This window comes from Homo sapiens, chromosome 1 (genome assembly GCF_000001405.40).
Source record: "Homo sapiens chromosome 1, GRCh38.p14 Primary Assembly".
NCBI classification, from domain to species: domain Eukaryota; kingdom Metazoa; phylum Chordata; class Mammalia; order Primates; family Hominidae; genus Homo; species Homo sapiens.
In genome coordinates this window covers 111,531,804-111,556,598 of record NC_000001.11, presented here as the reverse complement: position 1 = coordinate 111,556,598, position 24,795 = coordinate 111,531,804, and the positions used below count along the sequence as shown (strand labels likewise).

General features: G+C 38.8%; 2 protein-coding genes across 3 annotated transcripts in view; one reads left to right on the top strand and one right to left on the bottom strand.

The window, feature by feature from the left end:
- Positions 1-14,590, bottom strand: part of RAP1A (RAP1A, member of RAS oncogene family) — a 174,683-nt gene extending 160,093 nt beyond the window's left edge. The window contains exon 1 of the mRNA NM_001370216.2: positions 14,090-14,590. The gene's annotated coding sequence lies outside the window, so the exon portion shown is untranslated. The remainder of the gene's footprint in view (positions 1-14,089) is intronic.
- The window catches only part of TMIGD3 (transmembrane and immunoglobulin domain containing 3), an 80,615-nt gene that overhangs the window by 7,364 nt on the left and 48,456 nt on the right, over positions 1-24,795 (top strand). The gene's annotated exons all lie outside the window — the stretch shown is intronic.

Sequence of the window (24,795 nt, the reverse complement as noted above, 5' to 3'; positions counted from 1 at the left end):
AGCTTGTGTTGGAATTTCCTTTCCTTTTAAGGCTGGATAATATTTTATTGTATGTAAATGCTACATTTTGTGTGTCCATTCATCCATCTATACACATTTGGGTTGCCTCCACCCTATGGCAACTGTGAGTAATGCTGCTATAAACATGGGTGTACAAATATCTGTTCAAGTCCCCACTTTCTATTCTTCTGGGGAGTCATATGATAATTTTATTTTTAATTTTTTGAGAAACTGCCATACTATTTTATATAGCACTTGTACAATTTTACATTGACATCAGCAGTGCACAATAATTTCAATTTCTCTATAGCCTCACCAATACTTGTTATCTGTGTGAGTGTTTTTTTGGTAATAGCCATACTTATAAGTGTAAAGTGATATCTCATTGTGGGTTTTATTTGCATTTCCCTAATAATTAGTGATGTTGAATATCTTTTTATTTACTTACTGACCATTTGTATATCTCTTTGGAGAAACGTTTACTGAAGTCCTTTGCCCTTTTTAAAAATCAAGGGTATTTTGTTGTTGTCATTGTTGAGTTGCAGGAGTTTCTTGTGCGTTTTATATATTAATTCCTTATCACATACATGATTTACAAATATTTTCTCCCATTCTGTGAGTTTCCTTTTCAATCCATCAATAGTGTCCTTTGATGCACAAATGTTTTAAATTTTGATGTAGTTCAATTTATCGATTTTTTTCTTTTGTTGCCTTTGCTTTTGGTGTCATATCCAAGAAATCGTTGCCAAATCCAATGCTGTGAAGCTTGTCCCCTTATGTTTTCTTCTAAGAGGTTTATAGTTTTAATTCTTATGTTTAGGCCTTTAACCCATTTTGAGTTATTTTTTGTATATGGTATAAGGTAAGCATCCAACTTTATTCTTTTGTTATTATCCAGTTTTCCCAACACCATTTGTTGAAAAGACAGTATCTCTTTGAATATTACCTTTTTAATCCCTCTTTTGGGAAGGTGAATAGATACATACATACCTCTCACTTCATTCTCCATGTTTCTTAATATTTTGTAGTTTCCATTTCATGATTTCTCTAAGCTGAATTCTGTAAAATTTCTTCAGCTATTCTTCAATTTACTAATTCTTCTGGGTGAGTCTACTATTTAACCTGTCCACAGAGTTTCAAATTTAATTATTACATTAAAAATTTTTTTTCTGGAACTATTTGGTTATTTTTCAAATATGTCTGGTAATTTTTTTTTTTTTTTTTTTTTTTTTTTTTACAGAGTCTCAGTCTGTCACCCAGGCTGGAGTGCAGTGGCACAATCTTGGCTCACTGCAACCTCAGCCTCCTGGGTTCAAGCAATTCTTGTGCCTCAGTCTCCTGAATAGCTGAGACTACAGGAATGCACCACCACACTCAGCTAGTTTTTGTGTTTTTAGTAGAGACAGGGTCTTGTCACGTTGGCCAGGCTAGTCTCGAACTCCTGGCCTCAACTGATCCTCTTGCCTCTGCCTCCCAGAGTGTTGGAATTACAGGTGTGAGTCACTGTGCCCCGCCTGCCTGATCATTTTTGATAGCCTCTTTTTCTTTTCTCCTGTTTTCAATTAGTTCTCTTACTTTTAAATGTGTTATATATACTTAAAAAATATTCTGTAGCCATTAATAACTACATTTAAAGTCTCGGTAGGTCACTTTTTCCTTACATGGTGTTTCTGCTGTCCCTTACTCAGGGAATTTTGTTTCCTTGTGTATTTTGTGACTTTTGTAAATTGTGAGCTAACATTCTTTGGAACTTTTTTAGATTCTTAGATTCCTGAGTAGAGAGAATTTGTGTTTGCTTTTGCCAGGGGCTTGGGGTCTACCAACCTGAATCACTTTGAAGAAACATGAAGGAAATGTGAATTCAGGCTGTAACCTTATTTGAAGTCTCACATGTGGTTACAAATTCTCAAGAGAAGACTTTTGGACCTTGTACCAAGTGCCATTATTTTTTCACCATATTCCTTTGAGGGGTATATGTGTGTCTCTTTTAATTATTCACTGAGCATATGATCCTTTGCAATCCTGGATAAATGTTTGGGTTTCTAATCTTACTTTTGAATTTGTGTAGACCTGAGACTTATTGTCCTGTAGCCAAGTGGCCACTGAAACAAATGCTCTGGATTACTGTGGACCAGCAAATGTTCTAGAACAGCTACCAGCTTTAGCATTCACCCTCCTCTTTAGATTTGTGCCATGCCACCTTTGACTTTGGAATATTTCCTATATTTTTTGTCAAACAAAAGATGTTTTTAATTTTTTATCTGGTAGGTTTGAGAGGTTTTTAAGAAAGGTTTTTCAAATTCCTCTGTAATACTATATACCTCCACAGGTTCTTACAGTTCTAAACTCCGGGATGTTTCTAACTTGATCTATGTTTTTATGTGTGTTAATTCAATTTTCACAAGAAGTCTATGAGATAGGTATTATCATTATAATTATTTCTATTTTAAAGATGGAGAAACTGAGGCATAGGGAAGTTAAGTAATAAGCCCAAGGCCACATAGCTAATAAGTGGTGGGGATCTAAATCTGGGAATTCTGGCTTTAGTGCATATGCACGTAACCATTCCAATCAGTCACATTCCATTTCTGCTTTGTGCCTGCACTCCTCTTCTTGCTTACAGTCAGAATGGGGAAGCAATGCATGCCCATATGGAACCACTAGAAAATAACACAATATATATTCAAGCTCTTTGTATAGGTTCTTAAGTTCTACAGATGTTTGCAGAAAGAGTGATCAATGAGGAAGTTTCTTGACAGTTTTGGACTTGATACAGGTGTTAAGAGATGGATTTGAGTTGACTAAATAGGAAAAAAGGGGAAAGGAAAGGAATTCCAACAAAAGGGGGTGGAGTGGAATTTGAGCCTAATGTCAGAGGTAGAAAGGAACATCACAGTATACGTGTGAAAATACTGGTCTATGAAGCAGAAAGTCTTCTTCAAGAAGAAATAGATATTCAGCTGAGTAGGTAGGAAGGAGTCTGAAAGCCAGATAAAGAAATTTAGATGTAACCAGTAGAAATTAGGTTTAAGGAAGATACCTTTGTAACAGCATACCGGCTAGAAGTTGTCAAAAGCTGAAACACTGGAGATTTTACTCTGCATGTAAGCTAAAAAGTTATCCTGTTGCGTGGATGATGGTGGAAGACATGAGACTCCTGAGTCAGAGACAAACGACTCTATTAATCATAGCATAGTGGCAGCATGAATGTCAGTTTCATATCCATTCCCCATGCTCCTCAAATTCCACAGAGGTGATGCAGAATCAATGCTGTATATGTCATGAGTTTTTGCCAGAGCTGAGGAATCCCAAGCCTAGGAAACTCAAATCTTCTATAATGGAATGTGTGCATACCTGCCTGGCCTTTGCCTTGGAGAAAGACATTTTTATTATACTGTACAATAAACAAATCTGTTCTCTGCTCTAGAGGAAGACAGTCCAAAAATAAGGCCATCTGTGCCTCTGCTTACAAGATGGGAAGAAACATGAGAAATTAATGAGAAATTGTTTCCCAGCAGAAGTCATCTGAGAAATCGCAATCTGAATATGAAGTGTTTGGGACATTTCACGTAAGTTCCACAAAAGTGGAGCTCTTACCTGTTGTCAGTCTTGCTCATTGTAATAGTCCTAGAGATGAGTATATAATCTTAATAAATTTAGCTTTAATAAATGTTTGCTGGATGCATTTAGTGCCTAACAATTTTTGAGTGTTCACTATATGCAGGCCTAGTACTAATCACTTGACAAGTGTTAACTCATTTAATCCTCATAGCAATACTTTTATTATCCCATTTTACAGATGTTAAAACTGAGGCATAAAAAGTTTTAATTGGCTTGCTCCAGGTCATGCATGTAGGAAGTGGTAGAGCTGGTATTCAAACACCAACATATGATTCCAGAACTGATGGTTTTAAATAGTATAATAAATTGCCTCTCAAGGCCTGCCTGGTGGTGGTAGTGATTAAGAAAAATAGATAAAGGTGACTTTTAAAGGAATAACTGGCTGTCTTTGGTGATTTTCTGGATATAGTGGATAAAAAAATGGTGAATTATGGTCTCTGTGAAGATGGTAGAGTAAGGTACTCTGAAAATGAACTCCAACATAAAAGCAACTACAAATTTGCCAAAAATGATCAGAATCTACTTTTTCAGAACCCTGGAAATTAACCAAATGCTTGCAGCAACTCAGGGAACACGTATTCAGGAAAAATAGCTGAGTCTTCATAGGAGGGACAGACTTGTGACATTATAACTTGCCTTCGTTCCATCTCTAGCTCCCCAGCTCAGTGGCAGATAGCCACTTGAAGATAACAGCCTGCATTCTAGCACCAGTACCAGAAGAAGGAGAATGAATGTCGTCATTTGGAAATATTTGTCCTTGGTTGATTGTCTGGTGACTCCCTAAGAGATGGGCTCAAAAGTCATGTTTTATCTTGTTTCAGAGCTTGCCCAGCCCTAAAGTCACTATCTGGAGTCATTTGTTGAAAACACAAGTAAATGTTTTAGCCTTTGCTACTGAGACAATGGATAACAGTTGGGGCAAACAATAGATTAACCAAATATCTTGGGAGAAAAGCCTAAATGAGATGCTTTGGCGAATAAGGACTTTGAAAAGCTCTTACATTTCTGGGAATTTAGAAGGCCAGGTGCATGCCGAGAACTGTTCACATGCTCAAGAAAGACCAGAGAAAGTCCTGATTTCTCCCCTCTAGTTTACCTGAGCAAACAGTAAGTGAAGGCCAAGGCCGAACTGTAAACCGCTCGGCTGAGTGCTGAAGGCATGCCCCAATAAAGTTGCAGAATCCCTCTGTAAAGACTCCATCTCAAAAAAACAAAACAAAACAAAACAAAACCAAAAACCACAAAACAAAACCAAAAAACCACTGCCACTGGTAATGATAACTACATAGATAAATATAAAAGATGTTATTAATGTATTTTTGTTTGTAACTCCCTTTTTAAAAATCTGATTTAAAAGACAGCTACATAAAGCAATAATTATAAATTTATATTGATGGAAAAACAATGTATTAAGAAGTAATTTGTGACAGTAACAGCATAAAGCAAGAAACTGAACTATATAGGAACAAAATTGTGTATAACATTAAAAGTTGGTATTAATCCTAATTACATTGTTATAAATTAAGATGTTAATTATAATTCCCAGGGAAATTGCCAAGAAAATAGCTCAAAAGTATGTAGTAAAAGAAATGGTAAAGGAATTAAAGTGGCCCCCTAGAAAAGTGTCTATTTAACACAGAAGAAACTAGTAACGGAGGAACTGAGGTGCAAAAAAGATATAAGACATATACATAATACATAGCAAAATGGCACACGTAAGCCCTTTCTTTTCAGTAATTACATTAAATGTGAATGAATTAGCTCTCAAAAGGCAGAGGTTAGAAGAATGAATTTCAAAAAAAAACATGATCCAACTATATGCTGTTTGTAAAAGTCTCCCTTTAGATTTAAAGACACAAACAGGTTGAAAGTAAAAGAATGAGAAAAGATAAGTATTTCCTGCAAACAGTAGCAAAAAGAGAGTTGAAGTGGCTATCCTAAAACCAGACAAATGTGTCAGACTTCAAGACAAAAATTGTCATGAGAGACAAAGAAGAACATTTTATAATGATAAAAGAGTCACTCCACTATGAAGATATAACAATGATAAACATGTACACATCTAACAATATGGGACATTCTCCAGGTTAAACTATAAGACAGGCCACAAAGCAAGTCTGAATAAATTTTAAAATGTTGAAATTACATAAAATATGTTCTCTGACCACATTAAGATGAAATTGGGCTGGGTGTGGTGGCATGTGCCTGTAATCCCAGCTACTCAGGAAGCTGAGGTGTGAAGACTGCTTGAGCCTAGGAGTTCAAGGCCTGCTGGGCAACATAGTGAGACCCCATCTTTTAAAATGTTGGAAGTCAATAACAGATGTAAATCAGGAAGGTTCCTAAATATATGGAAATTAAACAAAGAAACTCTTAAACAACAGTGGGTCAAAGAAGAAATTGCAAGAGACATTAGAAAATATTGGGGTGAATAGAAATGAAAACATAACATAGAAAAATGTATGGGATACAGGGAATGTTGGAAGAATGCTTAGAGGGAAATTTACAGTTAGTTGAACACCTTCATTAAAAAAGAAGAAAGATCTCAAATCAACAACATGATCTTCCATTTTTAGAAACTAGAAAAAGAAGGGCAAACTGAACCCAAAGCAAGAAAAAGGAAGAAAATAATAAAGATTAGAGTGAAAGTAAATGAAAAAGAGATTAGAAAAATATTAGAGAAAATCAATGAAGCCAGAAGTTGGTTCTTTTAAAAGGTCAACAAAATAGGCAATCCTTTATCCATGCTGACCAGAAAAATAGGGAGAAAACTGAAATTACGAAAATCAGGAATGAGAGCAGGCACCTTACTATCAATCTTAAAGAAATAAAAAGAATTATAAGGCAATACTATGAGCAATTGCATGACAACAAATTTTATAATCTAGAGAAAATGGACAAATTTCTAAAAACACACAAAGTACTAAAACTCACTCAAGAAAGACTAGAAAGTCTGGATAGATGTATAAAAAGTAAACAAATTGAATCAGTAATCAAAAAACTTCCAACAAAAAAACCCAAAACAAGGCTGGCTGTGGTGCTCATGCCTGTAATTCCAGCACTTTGGTAGGCTGGGACAGGAGGATTACTTGAGGCTAGGAGTTTAAGGCCAGTCTGTGCAACATAGCAACACCCTGTCTCTACAAAAAAATTTAAAAAAGATTAGCTGAGCATGGTGGTGTGCACCTGTAGCTCTAGATACATGGGGGGCTGCAGTGGAAGGATCTCCTGAGTCCAGAAGTTTGAGGCTTCAGTGAGCTATGATTTGTCCAATGCATTCCAGCCTGGGTGACAGAGAGAGAGATCTTGTCTTTTTTTTTTTTTTTTTGAAACAGAGTCTCACTCTGTTGCCCAGGCTGGAGTGCAGTGGCATGATATCGGCTCACCACAACCTCCGCCTCCTCAGTTCAAGCGATTCTCCTGTCTCAGCCTCCCTAGTAGCTGGGACTACAGGCGCATGCCACCACACCAGGTTAATTTTTGTATTTTTTAGTGGAGATGAGGTTTCACCATATTGGTCAGGCTGGTCTTGAACTCCTGACCTCAGGTGATCCACCTGCCTCAGCCTCCCGAAGTGCTGGGATTACAAGCGTGAGCCACCGTGCCCAGCCCGACCATGTTTTAAAAGGGGGAAAAAAAGGAAAAAGACAAGAAAAAAAAAAAAAAAAGCCCATGACTGGATGGCTTCACTGATAAATTCTGCCAAATTTTCAAATAATTATCCTTAAGCTTTCACAAAGATTTTTTAAAAAAATAAAGGGCAGGGGATACTTCCTAACACCTTCTATAAGACCAATATTACCCTAATACTAACACCAGACAAAGACAACAGGGAAAAGAAAATAACAGACCAATATCCATTGTGAATATGGATGTACAAATCTTCAACAAAATACTAACAAATTGACTTCAGTAGCATATGAAAATGATTATCTGAGGGATCTTCAAAAGTTCATGGAAAACACATATGAGAAGAGAATGCATGGATTTCAATTTTTTGCACTAAAATGAACTTGTACTAACTTATAACATGTCTGAACAAGATCTAGATTGAGGCACTAAGAAAGATAAGGCATCAGTTTGAAAACAGCCCATATCAGAGCGACATGAATTTTGTTAAAATTGAAGCAAGAACAAACATCACATTTGTAGTGAAGCTTGAGTTGGAGAATGGTGAAATCACTGGTGCTTTACAAAAAGTTTATGGGGACAACGCCCCAAAGAAATCAGCAATGGATAACTCATTTTAAGAAAGGATGAGATGATATTGAATATGAAGCCTACGGTGGCAGACCATCCACATCCATTTATGAGGAAAAAATTAATCTTGTTTGTGACCTAATTGAAGAGGATCAACGATTAACAGCAGAAACAATAGTCAATGCCATAAACATCTCAGTTGGTTCAGCTTACCCAGTTCTGACCGAAAAATTAAAGTTGTGCAAACTTTCCACTTGATGGGTGCCAAAACCATTGTGCCCAGATCAGCTGCACAAAAGAGCAGAGCTTTCAAAGGAAATTTTAAACAAGCAGAGTCAAGATCCTGAAGCATTTCTTTAAAGGATTATAACAGGAGATGACATATAGTTTTACCAGTATGATCCTAAAGACAAGGCACAATCAAAGCAATGGATACCAAGAGGTAAAAAGTGGTCCATGCCAGGTGCAGTGGCTCACGCTTGTAATCCCAGCACTTTGGGAGGCCGAGGTGGGTGGGTCGCTTGAGGCCAGGAGTTTGAGACCAGTCTGGGCAACATGGGGAAACCCCATCTCTACTGAAAACACAAAAATTAGCCAGGTGTGGTGGCACATGCCTGTAGTTCCAGCTGCTCAGGAGGCTGAGGCAGGAGAATCTCTTGAACCCAGGAGGTGGAGGTTGCAGTGAGCCGAGATTGTGCCACTGCACACCAGCCTGGGCAACAGAGTGTGGCTCTGTCTCAAAAGACAAACAAACAAACAAACAAACAAAAAAAGTGGTCCAGTCAAAGCAAAAGTGAACTGGTCAAGAGCAAAGGTCACAGCAACAGTTTTTTGGGATGGTCAAAGCATTTACTTGTTTACTTTCTGGAGGGCCAAAGAATGATAGCATCTGCTTATTATGAGAGTGTTTTAAGAGAGTTAGACAAAGCTTTAGCAGAAAAATACCAGGAAAGCTTCACCAGAGAGTCTTTCTCCACCATGACAATGCTCCTGCTTATTCCTCTCATCAAACAAGGTCAATTTTGTGAAAGTTCTGAAGGGAAATCATTAGGCATCCATCTTACAGTCCTGATTTGGCTCCTTCTGACTTCTTCCTATATCTTAATCTTTAAAAAATCTGTAAAAGGCACCAATTTTTCTTCAGTTAATAATGTAAAAAAATGGCATTGACGTCAGATTTCCAGGACCCTCAGTTCTCTAGGGATGAACTAAGTGGCTAGTATCATCACTTACAAAAGTGTCTTGAATTGATGGAGCTTAATGTTGAGAAATTAGTTTATATTTTATATTTTTTAACTCCATTTTCACAAACATTTGAAGTCTCCTTGTACATCACTACCAAGTGGAGTTTATTCCAGAAATGAAAGATTGATTTGATATATAAAAATTAATCAATATAATATTAATAGGATAAAGGGAAAAAAATCATCATCTCAATAGATACAGAAAAAGCATTTGACAAAATCCAGTACCCTTTCATGATTTAAAAACACACCAGACCAGAAAAAGAAAGGAAATTCTTCAATCTCATAAAGGTCATCTTTGAAAAACCCACTGCTAACATTATACTTAATGGTGAAAGGTTGAAAATTTCTCCCTAGTATCATGAAAAAAAAGAAAATTACTATTCTCACTACTTCTATTCAAAGTTGAAGGATACAAGACCAATATACAAAAATTAGTTGTATTTCTATATATTAGCAATGAACAATCCAACAATGAAAGTAGGAAAATAATTTGATGCACAACAGCATCAAAAAGAACACAATCCTTGGGCATTGTTCCACTTTACACTCCTTAGGATGGCTATTATTAAAAACCAAAACAAAACAAAACAGAAAATAACAATGTTGGTGACGATATGGAGAAATTAAATTCCTTGGGAACTGCTAGTAGGAATGTAAACTGGTGCAGCCACTGTGAAAACCAATATGACAATTCCTCAAAAAAATACAAATAGAATTACCATATGATCCAGCAATTCTATTTCTGGGTATATATCTAAGATCATTAAAAGTAGGGACTTAAATAGATATTTGTGCACCCATGTTCATACCAGCCTTATTCACAATTGGCTGGAAGGTGGAAGCAACCAAGTGTCTATCAATGGATGAATTGATAAACAAAATGTGGTATATACATGCAATAGAATAATATTCAGCCTTGAAAAGGATGAAAATTCTGACACATGCTACAATATGGATGAAACTTAAGGACATTATGCTAAGTGAAATAAGGCAGTCACAAAAGGACAAGTATTATGTGATTTCACTTATATGAAGTACCTGGAGTAGTCCAATTCACAGAGACAGAAAGGAGAAGAACGATGCTTCCCAAAGGCTGGGAGAGGAAGGAATGGGGAGTTACTGTTTAATGGGTATGGAGTTTCAGTTTGGGAAGAGGAAAACAGTTTTAGAGATGGATGGTGGTAATGGTTGCACAACAATGTAAATGTACTTAATGCCACTGAGCTGTACAGTTAAAATACTTAAAATAGTTAAAATGGTAAAACAAAACACCAAACAAATTGAAACAAGAAGAGAGGAAAAAATGATGGCAGTACTTTCTAAATTGCTCTGCAGTTTTAATGTAAAACTTATAAAAATTCAAACTGCCTCCTTGGTTTTTGCAGAAATGGACAAGCAGATCCTAAAATCCATGTGGAAATGCAAGAGACCTTGAATAACCAAAATAGTTTTGAAAAAGAAAAAATTGAAGGACTCACAATTCTGGATTTTAAAACTTAACTACAAAGCTACAGTATTCTAAAGGGTATGGTACTCGCATAAGGCTAGACATATAGACTAACTGAATTAAACCGAAAGTTCAGAAATAAATCCATCCACCTGTGGACAATTGATTTTCAACAGGTTTCCAAGACTGTTCCGGGGAGAAAGGACAGTCTTTTCAACAAATGGTGCTGGGACAACTGAATATCTACATATCAAAGAATGAAGTTGGACTCCCAGCTTACACTGTATACAAAAATTAAGTAAAAATCGATCAAATAACTAACTATAAGAGCTAAAATAACAAAGCTTTTCAAAGGAAACAGGTGTAAATCTCTGTGACCTTAGATTAGGTAATGGTTTCTTAAATATGACACAAAAAGCACAAGCAATAAAAGACAAATAGAGAAGTTGGACTTCATCAAAATTAAAAACTTTAGTGCACCAAAGGGCACTAGCAAGAAAGTAAAAGTACAAACCAGAGAACGGGGGAAAATATTTGTAAATCATATATCTGATAATAGTCTAGTAGCCAGAATACATAAAGAACCCTTAAAATTCAACAATAAAAGGACAAATAATCCAATTTAAAAATGAGCAAAGGACTCGAACAGATATTTCTGCAAAGAAAATATACAAATGATCAATAAGCATGTGAAAAGATGCTTAACATCATTAGTCATTACACAAATGCAAATTAAGACTACAATGAGATACCACTTCACATCCACCAGGATGGCTTTAATTAAAAAAAAGGAAAAATAAGTGTTGGCAAGGATAGGGAGAAATGGGAATCCTCATACATTGCCGGTGGGAATGAAATGGTGCAGCTGCTATGGAAAACAGTTTGGTAGCTCCTCAAAAAGTTGAAAATAAAGTTACTGTATGATTCAGCAATTCTGCTTCTTGGTATATACCCAAGAAATTGGGTATATACCAAATTGGATATACCCAAGAAATTGGGTATGTACCAAATTGGATATACCCAAGAAATTGGGTATGTACCAAATTGGATATACCCAAGAAATTGGGTATGTACCAAATTGGATATACCCAAGAAATTGGGTATGTACCAAATTGGATATACCCAAGAAATTGGGTATGTACCAAATTGGATATACCCAAGAAATTGGGTATGTACCAAATTGGATATACCCAAGAAATTGGGTATGTACCAAATTGGATATACCCAAGAAATTGGGTATGTACCAAATTGGATATACCCAAGAAATTGGGTATGTACCAAATTGGATATACCCAAGAAATTGGGTATGTACCAAATTGGATATACCCAAGAAATTGGGTATATACCAAAAATGGATGTTCATGTACGTTTTGAATGTATAATTCAAAAACATATGTTCACGCAAAAACTTGTACACCAATGTTCATAGCAGTGTTATTCATAATAGCCTGAAAATGGAACAAACCAAATGTTTATCAGCTGATAAGGGGATAAACAAAATGTGGTATATAATGGAACGTTATTCAACTACAAAAATGACTGATATACTGATACAATGCATGTTACAACATGGATGAACCTTCAAAACATTATGCTGAAAGAAATAAGTTAGACACAAAAGACTGCACATTCTATTATTTCATCTATAGAAATGTCCAAAATAGTCAAATCCATAGAGACAGATTGTAGATTGGTAGTGCCAGGATGAGGGGAAGAGGAAATTGGGAAATATGGGAAATACTCTGGAATTGGATAGTAGTGATGGTTGTACAACATTGTGAATATACTAAAAATTACTGAGTTGTGCACCTTAAAGTTGGTAAAATGCTGAATTTTATGTAATGTGGATTTGATCTCAACTTTTTAAACAAGGGATAAATCAAAGATGAGTGACTCCACTTTAGATTTTATGCCTGCGTAAATTTAGAGAATAATATTGCATTAACAGAGATAAGTTAGTTTGAAAAGGGAGCCTGCTATTTTAGGACAAATGGCAAATTTGACTTTAAACATGTTCAAATGCTTCAAACTGAAGGCTATACATTTGATTGGAAACTATGACTTCCAATAGATGCCTAGTGAGACTTCAGGGTTAGAAATAAAATTTAGAAACCTTCAACACAGACTCTAGTAGGGACTGGGAGTATGAAATACCTCCTAAGAAGAGAGCCCCATCTTTGCCTATCATTGTCTACTCTCTCTCTGAGAAGGCCCAATCCTTTAAAATAAACCCTTACCAACTTCAAAATGGCCCACCCTGGGATAACAAAATGAATGAAATGTAGGAGTAGGGGTAATGCTATTTTTGTTTGAAGCTGTCCAATCTGCAGTAGGGCTTCTTCCCTCCTCTTCCTCCTCCTCTTTCTCCTCCCTCTCTTCTCCCTCCCTCTCCCCCTCCTCCTCTCCTTTTTCCTCCTCTTCTTCCTCCTCCTATTCCTCCTTCTCTTCCTCCTCCTATTCCTCCTTCTCTTCCTCCTCCTCCTTAAGACAGAGGGCCTAATCTTTTAATGAGGAAAATCTACTGTTCATTTTCTCAAAGCATTAAGACACCCAGAAAGGATTGTGTTAACATTTTGGTGAATACTCTCCATTGGGAGTTTTCAGCAGAAGAGTGATATGACCCAATTATGTTTCTAAGAGATCACTCTGGTTGCTGAGTGGCGAATAGACGGGAGATGGTATTTGGTGAGACCAGACAGGATGGTTTTTCCCTTTTGGCAGCGAATCTCCCTGGAAATAAAATTTGTCAGTTGCTCTTTCAAAATCAGGTTCTTCTCTGATTTTAAGGTGAAATATATATATATATTTATACAACACACACAGAAACACGCATACACACCAGAGTTCACACAGAATCACTGTAGTTTGATCTTTCATCAGTGAAAATATTCTAAAAACTATACTTCATAGTTGAGTTACCAAAGAGCTGTCACCTGCGCTGTGTGTGTGTCTCTCTGTGTATGTGTCTGTGTGTGTGTAGCAGAAATAATTTCTTCAGAAATATTCCAGATTTTATAACCCACTGGGAGAATCTACAAATAGACTTTTGATTTTAGTTTCTCATGGTTATAAAACAAATACATGGCCGGGCGCCATGGCTCACTCACGCTTGTAATCCCAGCACTTTGGGAGGCCAAAGTGGGAGGATCACCTGAGTTCAGGAGTTGGAGACCAGCCTGCCCAACATGGTGAAACCCCATCTCTATTAAAAATGCAAAAACTAGCCAGCCATGGTGGTTCATGCCTGTAGTCCCAGCTATTCCAGAGGTTGAGGCAGGAGAATCACTTGAACCCGGGAGGCGGAGGTTTCAGTGAGCCAAGACAGAACCACTGCACTCCAGCCTGGGTGACAGGGTGAGACTCCATCTCAAAAAAAGAAAAAAAAAACAAAAACAAAAACAAAGACAAGTTTTGAATCTAGGAACTGGTCTGGATGTAGACAAACATGTCCACTATGGTTAGTTTGCACATAAGAGAAATGCTCCCTTTACAGTGTAAGTCACAGAAGAAAGGGCATTCATACTTTTGGCTGCATGAAGTCTGTACTGCTGTAAATGAAATAAAAATTTCCCACCTTCTGCTGACTCTTCCAAAATTTCATTTCTCTCCTCCAACTCCTACACGGCCCTCGACTTGCTCTCTTAAGGGCGGAGCCCAGTTTTTCACCAAATAAATGGAGGTCCTCAGGCAGCTTCCTGCTCTACCACCTCTCAGCTGGCACAGTCCTTCACCCACGTGGAAGGAGCCACACAGACACTTCTCTTTTAACTTCTTTGCTCTTGTCGCGTGTGTTCGAACCGGCAGGTCTGATCCTGAAATACGGCCTCAATATGTGCCGCCAGTGTTTCCGTCAGTACGCGAAGGATGTCTGTTTCATTAAGCTGGTCTAAACGATCTTCCTTCAAAGGATTATCCAAGGCATCTACTCAATTAAAAACATGATAGTTCTTTGTACATAAAATAAACATTTGAAAAAACCCTTCAAAAAAAAAAAAAAAGCTTCTTTGCACCACCCTGAGTTAAGCTGTTAAGAGAGGTATTCCTCTTTAAAGAAAGGAATGCTTATGGAATGAATGGTGTTCCTGGTGACACACCTCATAAAAATTCATCACCTTGCCTTTCCTCTCCAGTTGTTTCTTTTGAAGGCAGTGGATCTTTTGTTTCAATTTTGACTTAGGACTTTCTCAACCTCTGCCATGTGCAGTTTTATTGCATTCACTCGCAGTTTCTTGATACACTCCAGTTCCTTGATCTTGGCGATGCTACTCTCTTCTGGGGTCTTCAACTTCTCAGGCTCTTTTACGGGCCCCTCGTCCCCTGTCCCTCCACTGAATGTTGGGTTTCTTAGGGTCTGCTTTAGCCTCCTGCACTTTCTCTCTCTCTCTCTTTCTCTCTCTCTCTCTTTCTCTCTCTCTCTCATTTTCCTTGTTACCTCTTTTATTCTTGTGATTATAACAATTGAGTACGTGTGAGTGATTTCCAAATGGACATTTCTCCCAGAGTTTCAGACTATGCATCCTACTGTCTGCCAAGCGTCACCACTTGGACGCTTCATTGACACCTCCAACTTGGCATGTCCCAAATTAACTCCCCTACAAATTTATTGCTTCTTTTTAAAGTTAGCCTGCAAAACATCTACTGATTTTAGTTCAGTCATCACTGTATCAGTCAGAATTCTTTTAGGGTAATCATAGAAGAGTTTAGCTTCCTTATATAGACCTTGAGCTAAGAATGTAAAGCCCAGAGCTCATCATTTTCTTTTCTGAAGTTCTCCAGCACACTTAGAAGCAATTAATCAATCCCATTATGGTTTGTATTTTCACTGAAATATTCTATGGCAGCAAATACTTGTTCATCCAAAGCTTTCCTTCTATAGCAGAAGTCAGCAAGCTATGACTCCTGAGCCAAATCTGGCTTGCCCCTATTTTTGTAAATAAAGTTTTATTGGAACATAGCCACGTTCATTCATACACATATGTCTGTGGTTGTTTTTGTGCTACAACCACAGAGTTGAGTAGAGACAGAGACTATGCAGAGTCTAGGTGGAGTGTATGCAGCAGAGACTATGTGGCTTCCAATGCCTAAAATATTTATCATCTGTCCCTTTTCAGAAAAAGTTTGCCAACCGTCGTTCCATAGGCATTTGATTAAAGGTGTCAATGTGATAATTTGTGTAACTGTTTGCCACTGCATAATACTAATGTCCTCTTAACCATTGGAAACAGGGCATTAGGAAAATCAGAGGATGAATTCCAAGTAACCTGGAACCTGTTTAGACAACTCATTCTTCAGGTTCTATACCCCTGGAATCTTGTCTGCTACCAAATTCTCTATCAGGGTTTGTCAGGGAAGCAAAACCACCAGAAGTTGAACCTTACACAATTGTGAGATGTGATTATCCAGTCTCTGTGAGGCTGTTGTCTTTGTGTCTCATGCTGGAGCATGAAGTTTGCATGACTGGCAGTCAGGAAGTGGGAAGATGCATGTAAATGGAGAAAAGGAGGAGGAACAAGCTGAATCCTAGAACCACCAACCAGAACCCAGAAAGATGGATGGATCCTGTGTCAGTCTCTCTTACCTCTAACTTTGATGATGTGGGTGTCTACAGGAGAAGCTGGCACACTTTGTCTTGGAGCTAAATACTCCCCGGCTCAAGAGTTAGAAAAGCTGAAGGAAGATCCAGGAGGAGGTGGAGAAGCTAACTGCAGGACTGGCTGCTGCCCCATGCCAAGGAGATGAAGCAGCAGATAAGTGATATCACGTACACGTGAGCTGCATTGGTGCCTAGTGCTCCTGCACCAACCCTTTGCATGTCAAAACATTCTGGGTGCTGCTTCACTTCCACCTTGCAGAACTCACACAAAATGTCTCTTACGGTTTACCCCAGCCAGAAACATATGAGGAAGAGCAGTCTGGGAAATAGCCATTTTAACCAAGTTAACAAATTACAAACCACTATAATCACATTCCCAATTAGCAATTGTAATCAAGTTATTTAAAATTTTAGTGAAAATATTTAAAATTTCTAATTAAATTATTAAATTTCAGTTTCCCTGTGTATCTGGTCTCAAGTAATGGTGCATCGCTAAGTTTCTAAAGCTAGGTACCTAGATTTCTTCCTCTTCATCTTTATCATTAGTCACGCACCAAACATATTTAGGTTCTCAATGTGTTTCTAATGTCTGTCTTTTAGCAGAGAGCTAGCTAGTTAAGGCTTTCATTATCTTTTGCCTTATTGCTGTCACTGCATCACCAGCCTCCCTGCCTCTCCTTTTGTCCTGCTTAAATCCATCCCCTTTCTATGGCTGGAATAAGCTGCCTCAAACATAAATTAACCTGCAATATGCTTTCTCCATTTACTTCTCCAGAAAGTTATGATTGACAGTGGAGACTGGGAGTAGGGGGATATTGTGTAAGGTTATGAGTAGCTTCCTTGCTTTTTCTGTAGTTCCTTGTGTTTTTTAATTGTGGTAAAATATAATAGCATAGGCCAGGCACAGTGGCTCATTCCTGTAATCCCAGCAGTTTGGGAGGCCGAGGCGGGCGGATTATGAGGTCAAGAATTGGAGACCATCCTGGCCAACACGGTGAAATCCCATCTCTACTAAAAATACAAAAATTAGCTGGGCTTGATGGTGCACACCTGTAGTCCCAGCTACTCAGGAGGCTGAGGCAAGAGAATCGCTTGAACTCGGGAGATGGAGGTTGCAGTGAGCCATGATCACACCACTGCACTCCAGCCTGGCGACAGAGCGAGACTCCGTCTCAAAGAAAAGAAAGAAAGAAAAGAGATGGGAACAACAGACACTGGGACTACTAGAGAGGGGAGAGAAGGAGGCAGGCATGGGCTGAAGAGCATAGTATCAGGTACTATGCTCACTACCTGGGTGATGGGATTCTCTGTATCCCAAACCTCAGCATCACACAACATATCCAAGTAACAAACCTGCATTTGTACTCCATGAATCTAAAATAAAAGTTGAAATTATTTTTTAAAGAAGTTAAAAAAAATAAACCTAGGTGTCTCCAAGGCAAGGACCTCTTGCTAAGGCTGGGATATCACTACCATTGGCAAGTGGGAGAGATCCTTTAGTGTAGGTCCTGGGGATCAGGCCCATTGGGGGTGTAGAATATACGAATGCTTGCAGAAGAATGTAAGCATCACATGTAATAGAGTAGACTTGGGAAATTTCTCTACTGCCAGGTGATGACTATACAGGGCATCTATTTTAAAAAGTATATAAAGTTCAGGTCATTCCAAAGGCCACTGGGCAAAAACCCAATTCCTCTGTGGTGTAATAGTCCTTTCCTGGAGCAATGCCAGAGGCCCCGTGAACCCTTTTTTATTCCCCAGTGCATTTAGATGGAAACATGCTTTATGTAACTTCAATTCTCGAATTCTTGAGAATGTTTCTCCAAATGCCTTTCAATGACTATAGATGTTGCGATTGTTTTGTAGACAATATGGTTCTAAACCCAAAGGAGACTCAGTGGGCTTGGTTCCTGGCACATCAAAGGTAAACAAATGCATTTAGGACAAAATGAATAGTGGTAGATGCCCCCCATGAAGGGCCAGATGTGGGGAGTAGGCTGACTCAGCAGCCACAACAAAAGAGAGACATCCTCACCAGAACCTCCTCCTCATGCGCTTTCAGAGCCCTTAGTCACACACAGATGTGTAGTGTTTCTAAACAGTGAGCCTGGTACTAGAAAGACCTCGCCATTTCTGTATACACATGGAGGGGAGTGAGTGAAAAACTTCCCAGCTCAAATGCCCCTTCCCTGTATGGTCAACTTGAGAGCAAGGAGTCGCCCAGGTACAACCTGGTTTTCTGCACAGGATCTTGTCCATCATATGTATTTGATAAATGTTTGATATGAGATCCAATTCCAGAGGCACAAATTGTGTTTTTTTGGTGAAACTGATGTGGTTTTCTGCACATCATAGGAAGTGTATTTTTCATGGCTGGTATCATCCATAACATCATCCTGATATGCTCAGTTTTCTGAGCCAACTCTTTTTAAAAACTGAAAATGCCATATGAGTTAACAAATAGCAAATAAGTGGTATGATATCCTAAATGCTTAAGTATTTAAGGAAAGTATTTTAAAAAAATAGCATGAGGGCCATTTTAGTAGTTAGGGTACAGGGAGGAAAATGCCCTTAAATAAATGAATAGTAAAGTGGTCCAACAAAAAAGATCACATCTGTTTTCATCCTGGTCATCATAGCCCCCATATGTTTCATATTGCTAATTACATTGTTTTAATTTTACTTAAAATGTATTATTCTAGATTAGGCATACCTTCAGGCTTGGTAAAATAAGATTGCTCTTTCAGAGATGTAATATTTTTATTCCTTAGCAATTATGGAGTGAATCCAGACTTTCTTTCTAATTCTTTAAAATAATGGGGGCACTCCTTTAAAATAATAAAAGGGAAAGCTCCTCTTTAAAAACGAAATCTCTGGTGTCCTTTCTGATGTTCTAAGATAAATTTTAAAGTACTGCTTGGACTTTTGATCTCTTTGGTCTCATTTTCTCAAAAAGGGAAATTTCTTCTTTAAAAAAGAGTGCTTTATGAACATATCTTTTGTGTCATGATTGCTGTTTATACACCTGTCTTTATCACTGAATGATGCCCTGATGTCAGATGCTCAGCAAGTCTTCACTGAACACCGTGGAGAGCTCTGTGCTGTGCTAGGAGCTATAAATGAATCCAACACAAGATATTTATTGAGCTCCTCCACTCTGTTGGACATTGGAATACAACATTTAAAAGGATAGTCCCTATGTTCAGAAAGCTCAGAATCCAGGTGAACAAATAGGCATACAGCAATTTGGACAGTCTTGTGCTAGAAGTGAGTGCCCTGGGAGGAGTAAGAGGGAGCCATTGCTCCAATGGTGGGGAAGAGGGACTTTTTAGAGAGCAGGTGATACATGACTCTAGGCCTTGAAGGATGAGTGCAGTTTCACCAGTTAAAGAAGAGTTAGGTGAAAATAGTGGGAGCATAAGTTTGGGTAGCTAAGGTGGTTGCAGGAAAACTTGAAAACCAGGGGGAAGAACTTGAACCTGAATTGCTAAGTACTAGGAAGCAGTCAACTGCAGACTTCCTGATGGCATGACTGGTGCAATGTTGAAGGAAGATTGGCCAGACATAATGTACTGGAGACAGGTGGCCTGGAGGCAACCATGTAGTTCTTGCAGCACCAGTCATTGGAAGGTGAAAAAGCTTGGGCCTGGGGGATGAATGAAGGATTGGAGAGGAAAGGAAGGGACAACCACACGGAGGAACAGTGCTTGGCACAGGGAAGGAGATGAATACATGCCTGTTGAGAGAATGAATATTTAATGGGTAATTAACAGGACTTGAAGTATCAAAAAAAGGGGTGAACATGAAGCATGGCTATGACTCTAAGGATTTGAACATAAATGACAAAAAAAATGGTTTATCATTGCATTGACAGGGATCGCGGGTATGAGCGATGAAATGGATTCAAAGAAAAAGACATTAACTCAGTCCTGGTAAACTCCTGCTGGGTACAGTTTTGCTTCTTTCTCCTGAGTATAGGACTTAGTATACAGCAATTTATCGTAATCATTAATAGGAAGTTAATAGTGCAAGTAAGTAAGGGAAATGAGGGCATGGCTTTCAATGTTGTGTCCTAAGATGGCTCATCCTAGGGATTTTCCCACAGTGCTGCTAGGGCTTTTAGCTTCTTTGGCCTCAGTTTCCTCATCTGAAAAATGTGGAAGTTGATCTGTGTCTAGCTAATGTCCTTCTAATATTAATAATGAGTGACTCTTCTTTTTGTTGATATCAGTGTTTTTTTTCTCCTTAAAAAAAAAAAACTTAAAAAATAAACCCCAACTCTTTAGGCCTATTTCTTCCCTCCGATGTGAGCAGAGAAAACGAATGTATGAGGCACAGGAGAAGCTAAAGGACTTATGAGCTGAAGGACTATTTCTCACTGGTTTAAAGGATCCCGTTGCCATAAATGGAAGTGGTGTTTGGAGTGTTGTTTTTGCCACATCTCCTGGACTTAAATGGAACGAAATTCTCTTGCAGAGTTGAAGAGAAGGGAGGAGAGGAGGGGGTGCCTGGGCTGGAAGCTGGCTGCTGGTCTGTGCACTGAAGGTCCAAGTTCAAATATGCTTGCAGGAAAGCTTCAGTTCAATGCTCTCTCCTCATACAATGAAGCTGTTGTGTGTCTGGAGGCCGGGAGAAGGCAGCTGGGTTTCTAGAGCTCAATGGCTAACATCTTTTTGATTCCTTTTGATTGTTCTCTGTTGGAGACATCACACAGGACACACTCATTTCTACGTGAGTCTGGAGAGTAAAATCCTGGCCAGTCATTGTTGTAAAGTCTCAGAAACAAGCAGCACATTCCAAACGGAGTTATCGGCCCTCATTGGCACATGTTTTCAGTGATTGCTGAGCAATATGTGAATAACACCTTTCAGTAAGACAAGGGGCAATTAAACGCTGTATCCTCACTTTAAACATTTGCTCTGCCTACGATGACCATTTTAGGTGGGCAAGTTCTTGGACTGCTGGGTCCTTTTGCCGTGTTAGTTTAATTTTGTAGACTACCCCTACAGGAATGTGTTGAACAAATGCCCATCTGATTTCAAAAGTCCAGAGGGATTCCATGCCCGCTGCTTACAGCATCTAATCAGATGGTGCCTGAAATGGCTCTGAACCTCTCCTTGGAACAATTTCTAGAGTGATACGTATATGTATATTGCACTAAGCGTCTGTGTGATATTTTTTCTGTGATTTCTCTTTCAACAGAATGAAGTGTAAGGAAGTTAGCACAAAAGGAACCTGGAGTTTAGAGGTGGGGTGGGTGGATACATTTCGATATAATAGTTGACATTTATTCAGTGCTTCTCAGTGTCAGGCACTGTTGAGGTACTTCATGAATTTAATTCATTGAATCCTCAATATTAGTCTATAAGGTAGGTGTTATTCTCTTGATCACCTTAAAAATGGGAAAACTGAGGCACAAATAGGTTGTCATGAAGCTGATAGGTAGTTGAACTAGGCTCCTAAATCTGGTACTTAGAGCTAGATACTATACTAATTTCCTGTGAGCTGGGTGTTCCCCTAACTTTTGTGTCTCTTTGTTTCCTGATAGCCATGTTGTGTTTTAGTTCGGAATACAGCTCTTAACTGTTCATTGACTTTATGCACTGATTCCTATACATAAGATAAGTAGAAAGTGATGGGAGAGTAAATAGGGGGTGGAGAGTAAGGGAGGAAGTCAGCATTGAGTCCACACTCACACATATGCACATGCACATTCTCATACATGCACAAACACAAAACACACACACACTCACACACAAATCTGCCCCCTTGATTTTACATTTACATCATTCATGTGCTCCCAGAGGCTCCTTTCCTGCCAGGTTATACATAGACCTTCCCTGAGGGATCAGTTCTTCCCACTTCAGGTCATGGGAAGGGGCAGGAAAAAGATGACTTCTTTTCAAAGGGCCTGCTAGAAAACCATGTTTGGAGAGAACACTTATAAAAATTGATCAATTAAACAGCAACCGTAAACACCGAACATCTAAGAGTGAGACAATGCAATCGTCAACTCTCAGATCACAGCAGCAAACCAGTCCTGTCCTTTAGGAGCTCAGCATAGACAAAAGCAAACACCAGTTCTGACCTCTCCTCTCCCTGACATTCCTACAACCCAGGATGCCAAGATTGTCGTTTTGGGACATGTTTTGTGATATGCTGTCATGTACACTACAGTTTCTTACACCTTGGATTTAAAAACAACTCCAACTCCTGCAATCATACAATTGAATGCTGTGCTGTCATTACAATGAATGAGGTTGTATTAATATTGAAAGATACCCATGATATGTTCATTAGGTGATATAAGTTTGTAGAACAACATGCATGGCACGATTCCATTTGTATAACGAAGATAAAAATGCATGCATAATAGCAATAATAAAATATATAATAATATCTATATCGTTCTTATTATATAGAGGCATTATTGTAAGTGTTTTACATTTATTAACTTATCCTCAGAACAAATCTATGAAGTGGATACTAATAGTATCTCAATTTTATATGAAGAAACCGACATATAGAGAGGTTAAGTAACTGGCCCAAAGTCACCCAACTAGTAAATGGGCAAGTCAGAATTCAAACTCAAGCATACTGGCTCCAAAGTGTTTATTATTAACCAATATGCTGTACTGGCCGGACATGGTGGCTCATGCTTATAATCCCAGCACTTTAGGGGCCGAGGTGGGTGGATCACTTGAGTTCAGGAGTTCGAGACCAGCCTGGGCAACGTGGAGAAACTCCATCTTTACGATAAATACAAAAAATTAGCCAAGTGTGGTGGCACGCTCCTGTAATCCCAGCTACTCGGGGGGCTGAGGCAAGAGTATCACTTGAGCCTAGGGAGTGGAGGCTACAGTGAGCCTAGATCATGCCATTGCACTCCAGCATGGGAGACAAAGTGAGACCCTGCCTCAAAAATAAATAAATAAAGCTCTACCGTAAGTAATGTGTAAGTACAGAAATATTCTAGACAAATACACAACAAACTGCTAATAATGGTTAGCTAAGATATGTGGAAATGACAGGTGGGATGAAGGATGGGAAAGGATATTTTAATTTTATATACTTTTATACTTTTTGGTATCATTCTTAAACTATTTTATTACTTGTTTACAATTTTTAAATTCCATTAAGGAATGCAGATAACCATTGAATCTGTGGTAGCCTAGTTAAAAATATTGAACAGATTATTTCCAGGAATCAAGGTATGGTGAGGAATTTGGATATTTAACACTGTCAGCTTCAATAACCCACACTTAAATATGAAGTGTCAGTGGAGGGGAAAAAACTTGTGTCCTCCACGTACAAAAATGAAGTATTTTGCATATTTAAAAAGTTAACCAATAATTATCCTTTTGGGGGACAGTCAGAGGGCCCCGTGGATCCAATCATAACATGCTTGGCTCCATCCTGAGACCAGATATTCTGGTTAGGAGGGGCAGTTACTGTTTTAAAGCAGGAGTGGTCTCCTTGTCTTTGAAAAAGGCAAAGACAGATTGTTCCTCCCCTCTACAGAGCAGTGTGGATAAACAGGGCCACCCGCAACCACACTAGTGGGACACCTCAGGCTTCTGTGAGGTAGTCTCACTCCAATAGATTGCAGAAGCTCTTTTACCAGGTCCGCTATCAGCTCATCCATCTTCACCCTTGGACTAGAGCTGAGGTTTCTGGAAGAAGGAGTGTGCCATTGCCTTTCATGCCGGGGCCTTCCTGGTACAAGCCACGGTTAGGCAACACTCAGCCCTGAGTGGTGTCCCACAGAGACCATCACCCCTTTCAGGGGCTCACAGGGGGCACTTTTACAAGAGGGACTGAGTTTCTTTTTTCCTTTTGCTCTTTCTTTTTAAAAATCTTAAAAGTAGAGACAGGATCTCTCTATGTTGCCCAGGCTGGTCTTGAACTCCTGGCCTCAAGCGATTCTCCTGTCTCAGCCTCCCACAGTGCTTGGATTACAGGTGTGAGCCACTGCACCCAGCCCAGGGACTGAGTCTCTGGAAAAGGCAGCCTCTGAAGGACTATCAGCCAAGTCCAAGAACAGCCATTCACTTGGAATACTTCTGGCGAGTGCAAATGAGATTTTCTTAGTTTTTCCTGGGCCTGGATGGACTTCATTTTAGGGCACGGCATGTTTTCACTGTGATAAATATAAAGAGGTTCCATCTTCATATCTCCTTCCTGTGGTTGAGAAGATAGACATGGGAGTCCAGAGAAACCAAGGTGGCTAGTTTGCAGAACAGAGTACCGAACAGGAGAGAGTTGTACCCAGAGAGAGAAAGCTTTGGAGATTTGAAGAGGGTCTCCCCGAAGCCTTCAGCTGAGTGAGTGCTGGTCAGCACATGCATGTGAGAAAACTACCTTAAGCTAGGAAAGGAACCACGCCAAAGAAGCAGAGTACAGGGCTATAATCTTTCCTCCCAGCCAGAGTGAAAACCTCATAATTAATAGGGTTTTGGGTAGAATACTTAGGTATTGTCTCAGTGGTAGGACAAATTAGCCTTAGACCAACAGTCGCATCTAACAAAGTTTTTTTCCTTTGTTTTTCTTTATTTTTAGTTAAAACTTCTTTTTCACCTAACAAAGTTTAAAAGTAACATAACTATGTTCCAAAACAAAGCTTATAAATATTTATAGGAAGCCAGGTGTGATGGCACATTCCTGTAGTCCCAGCTACATGGGAGGCA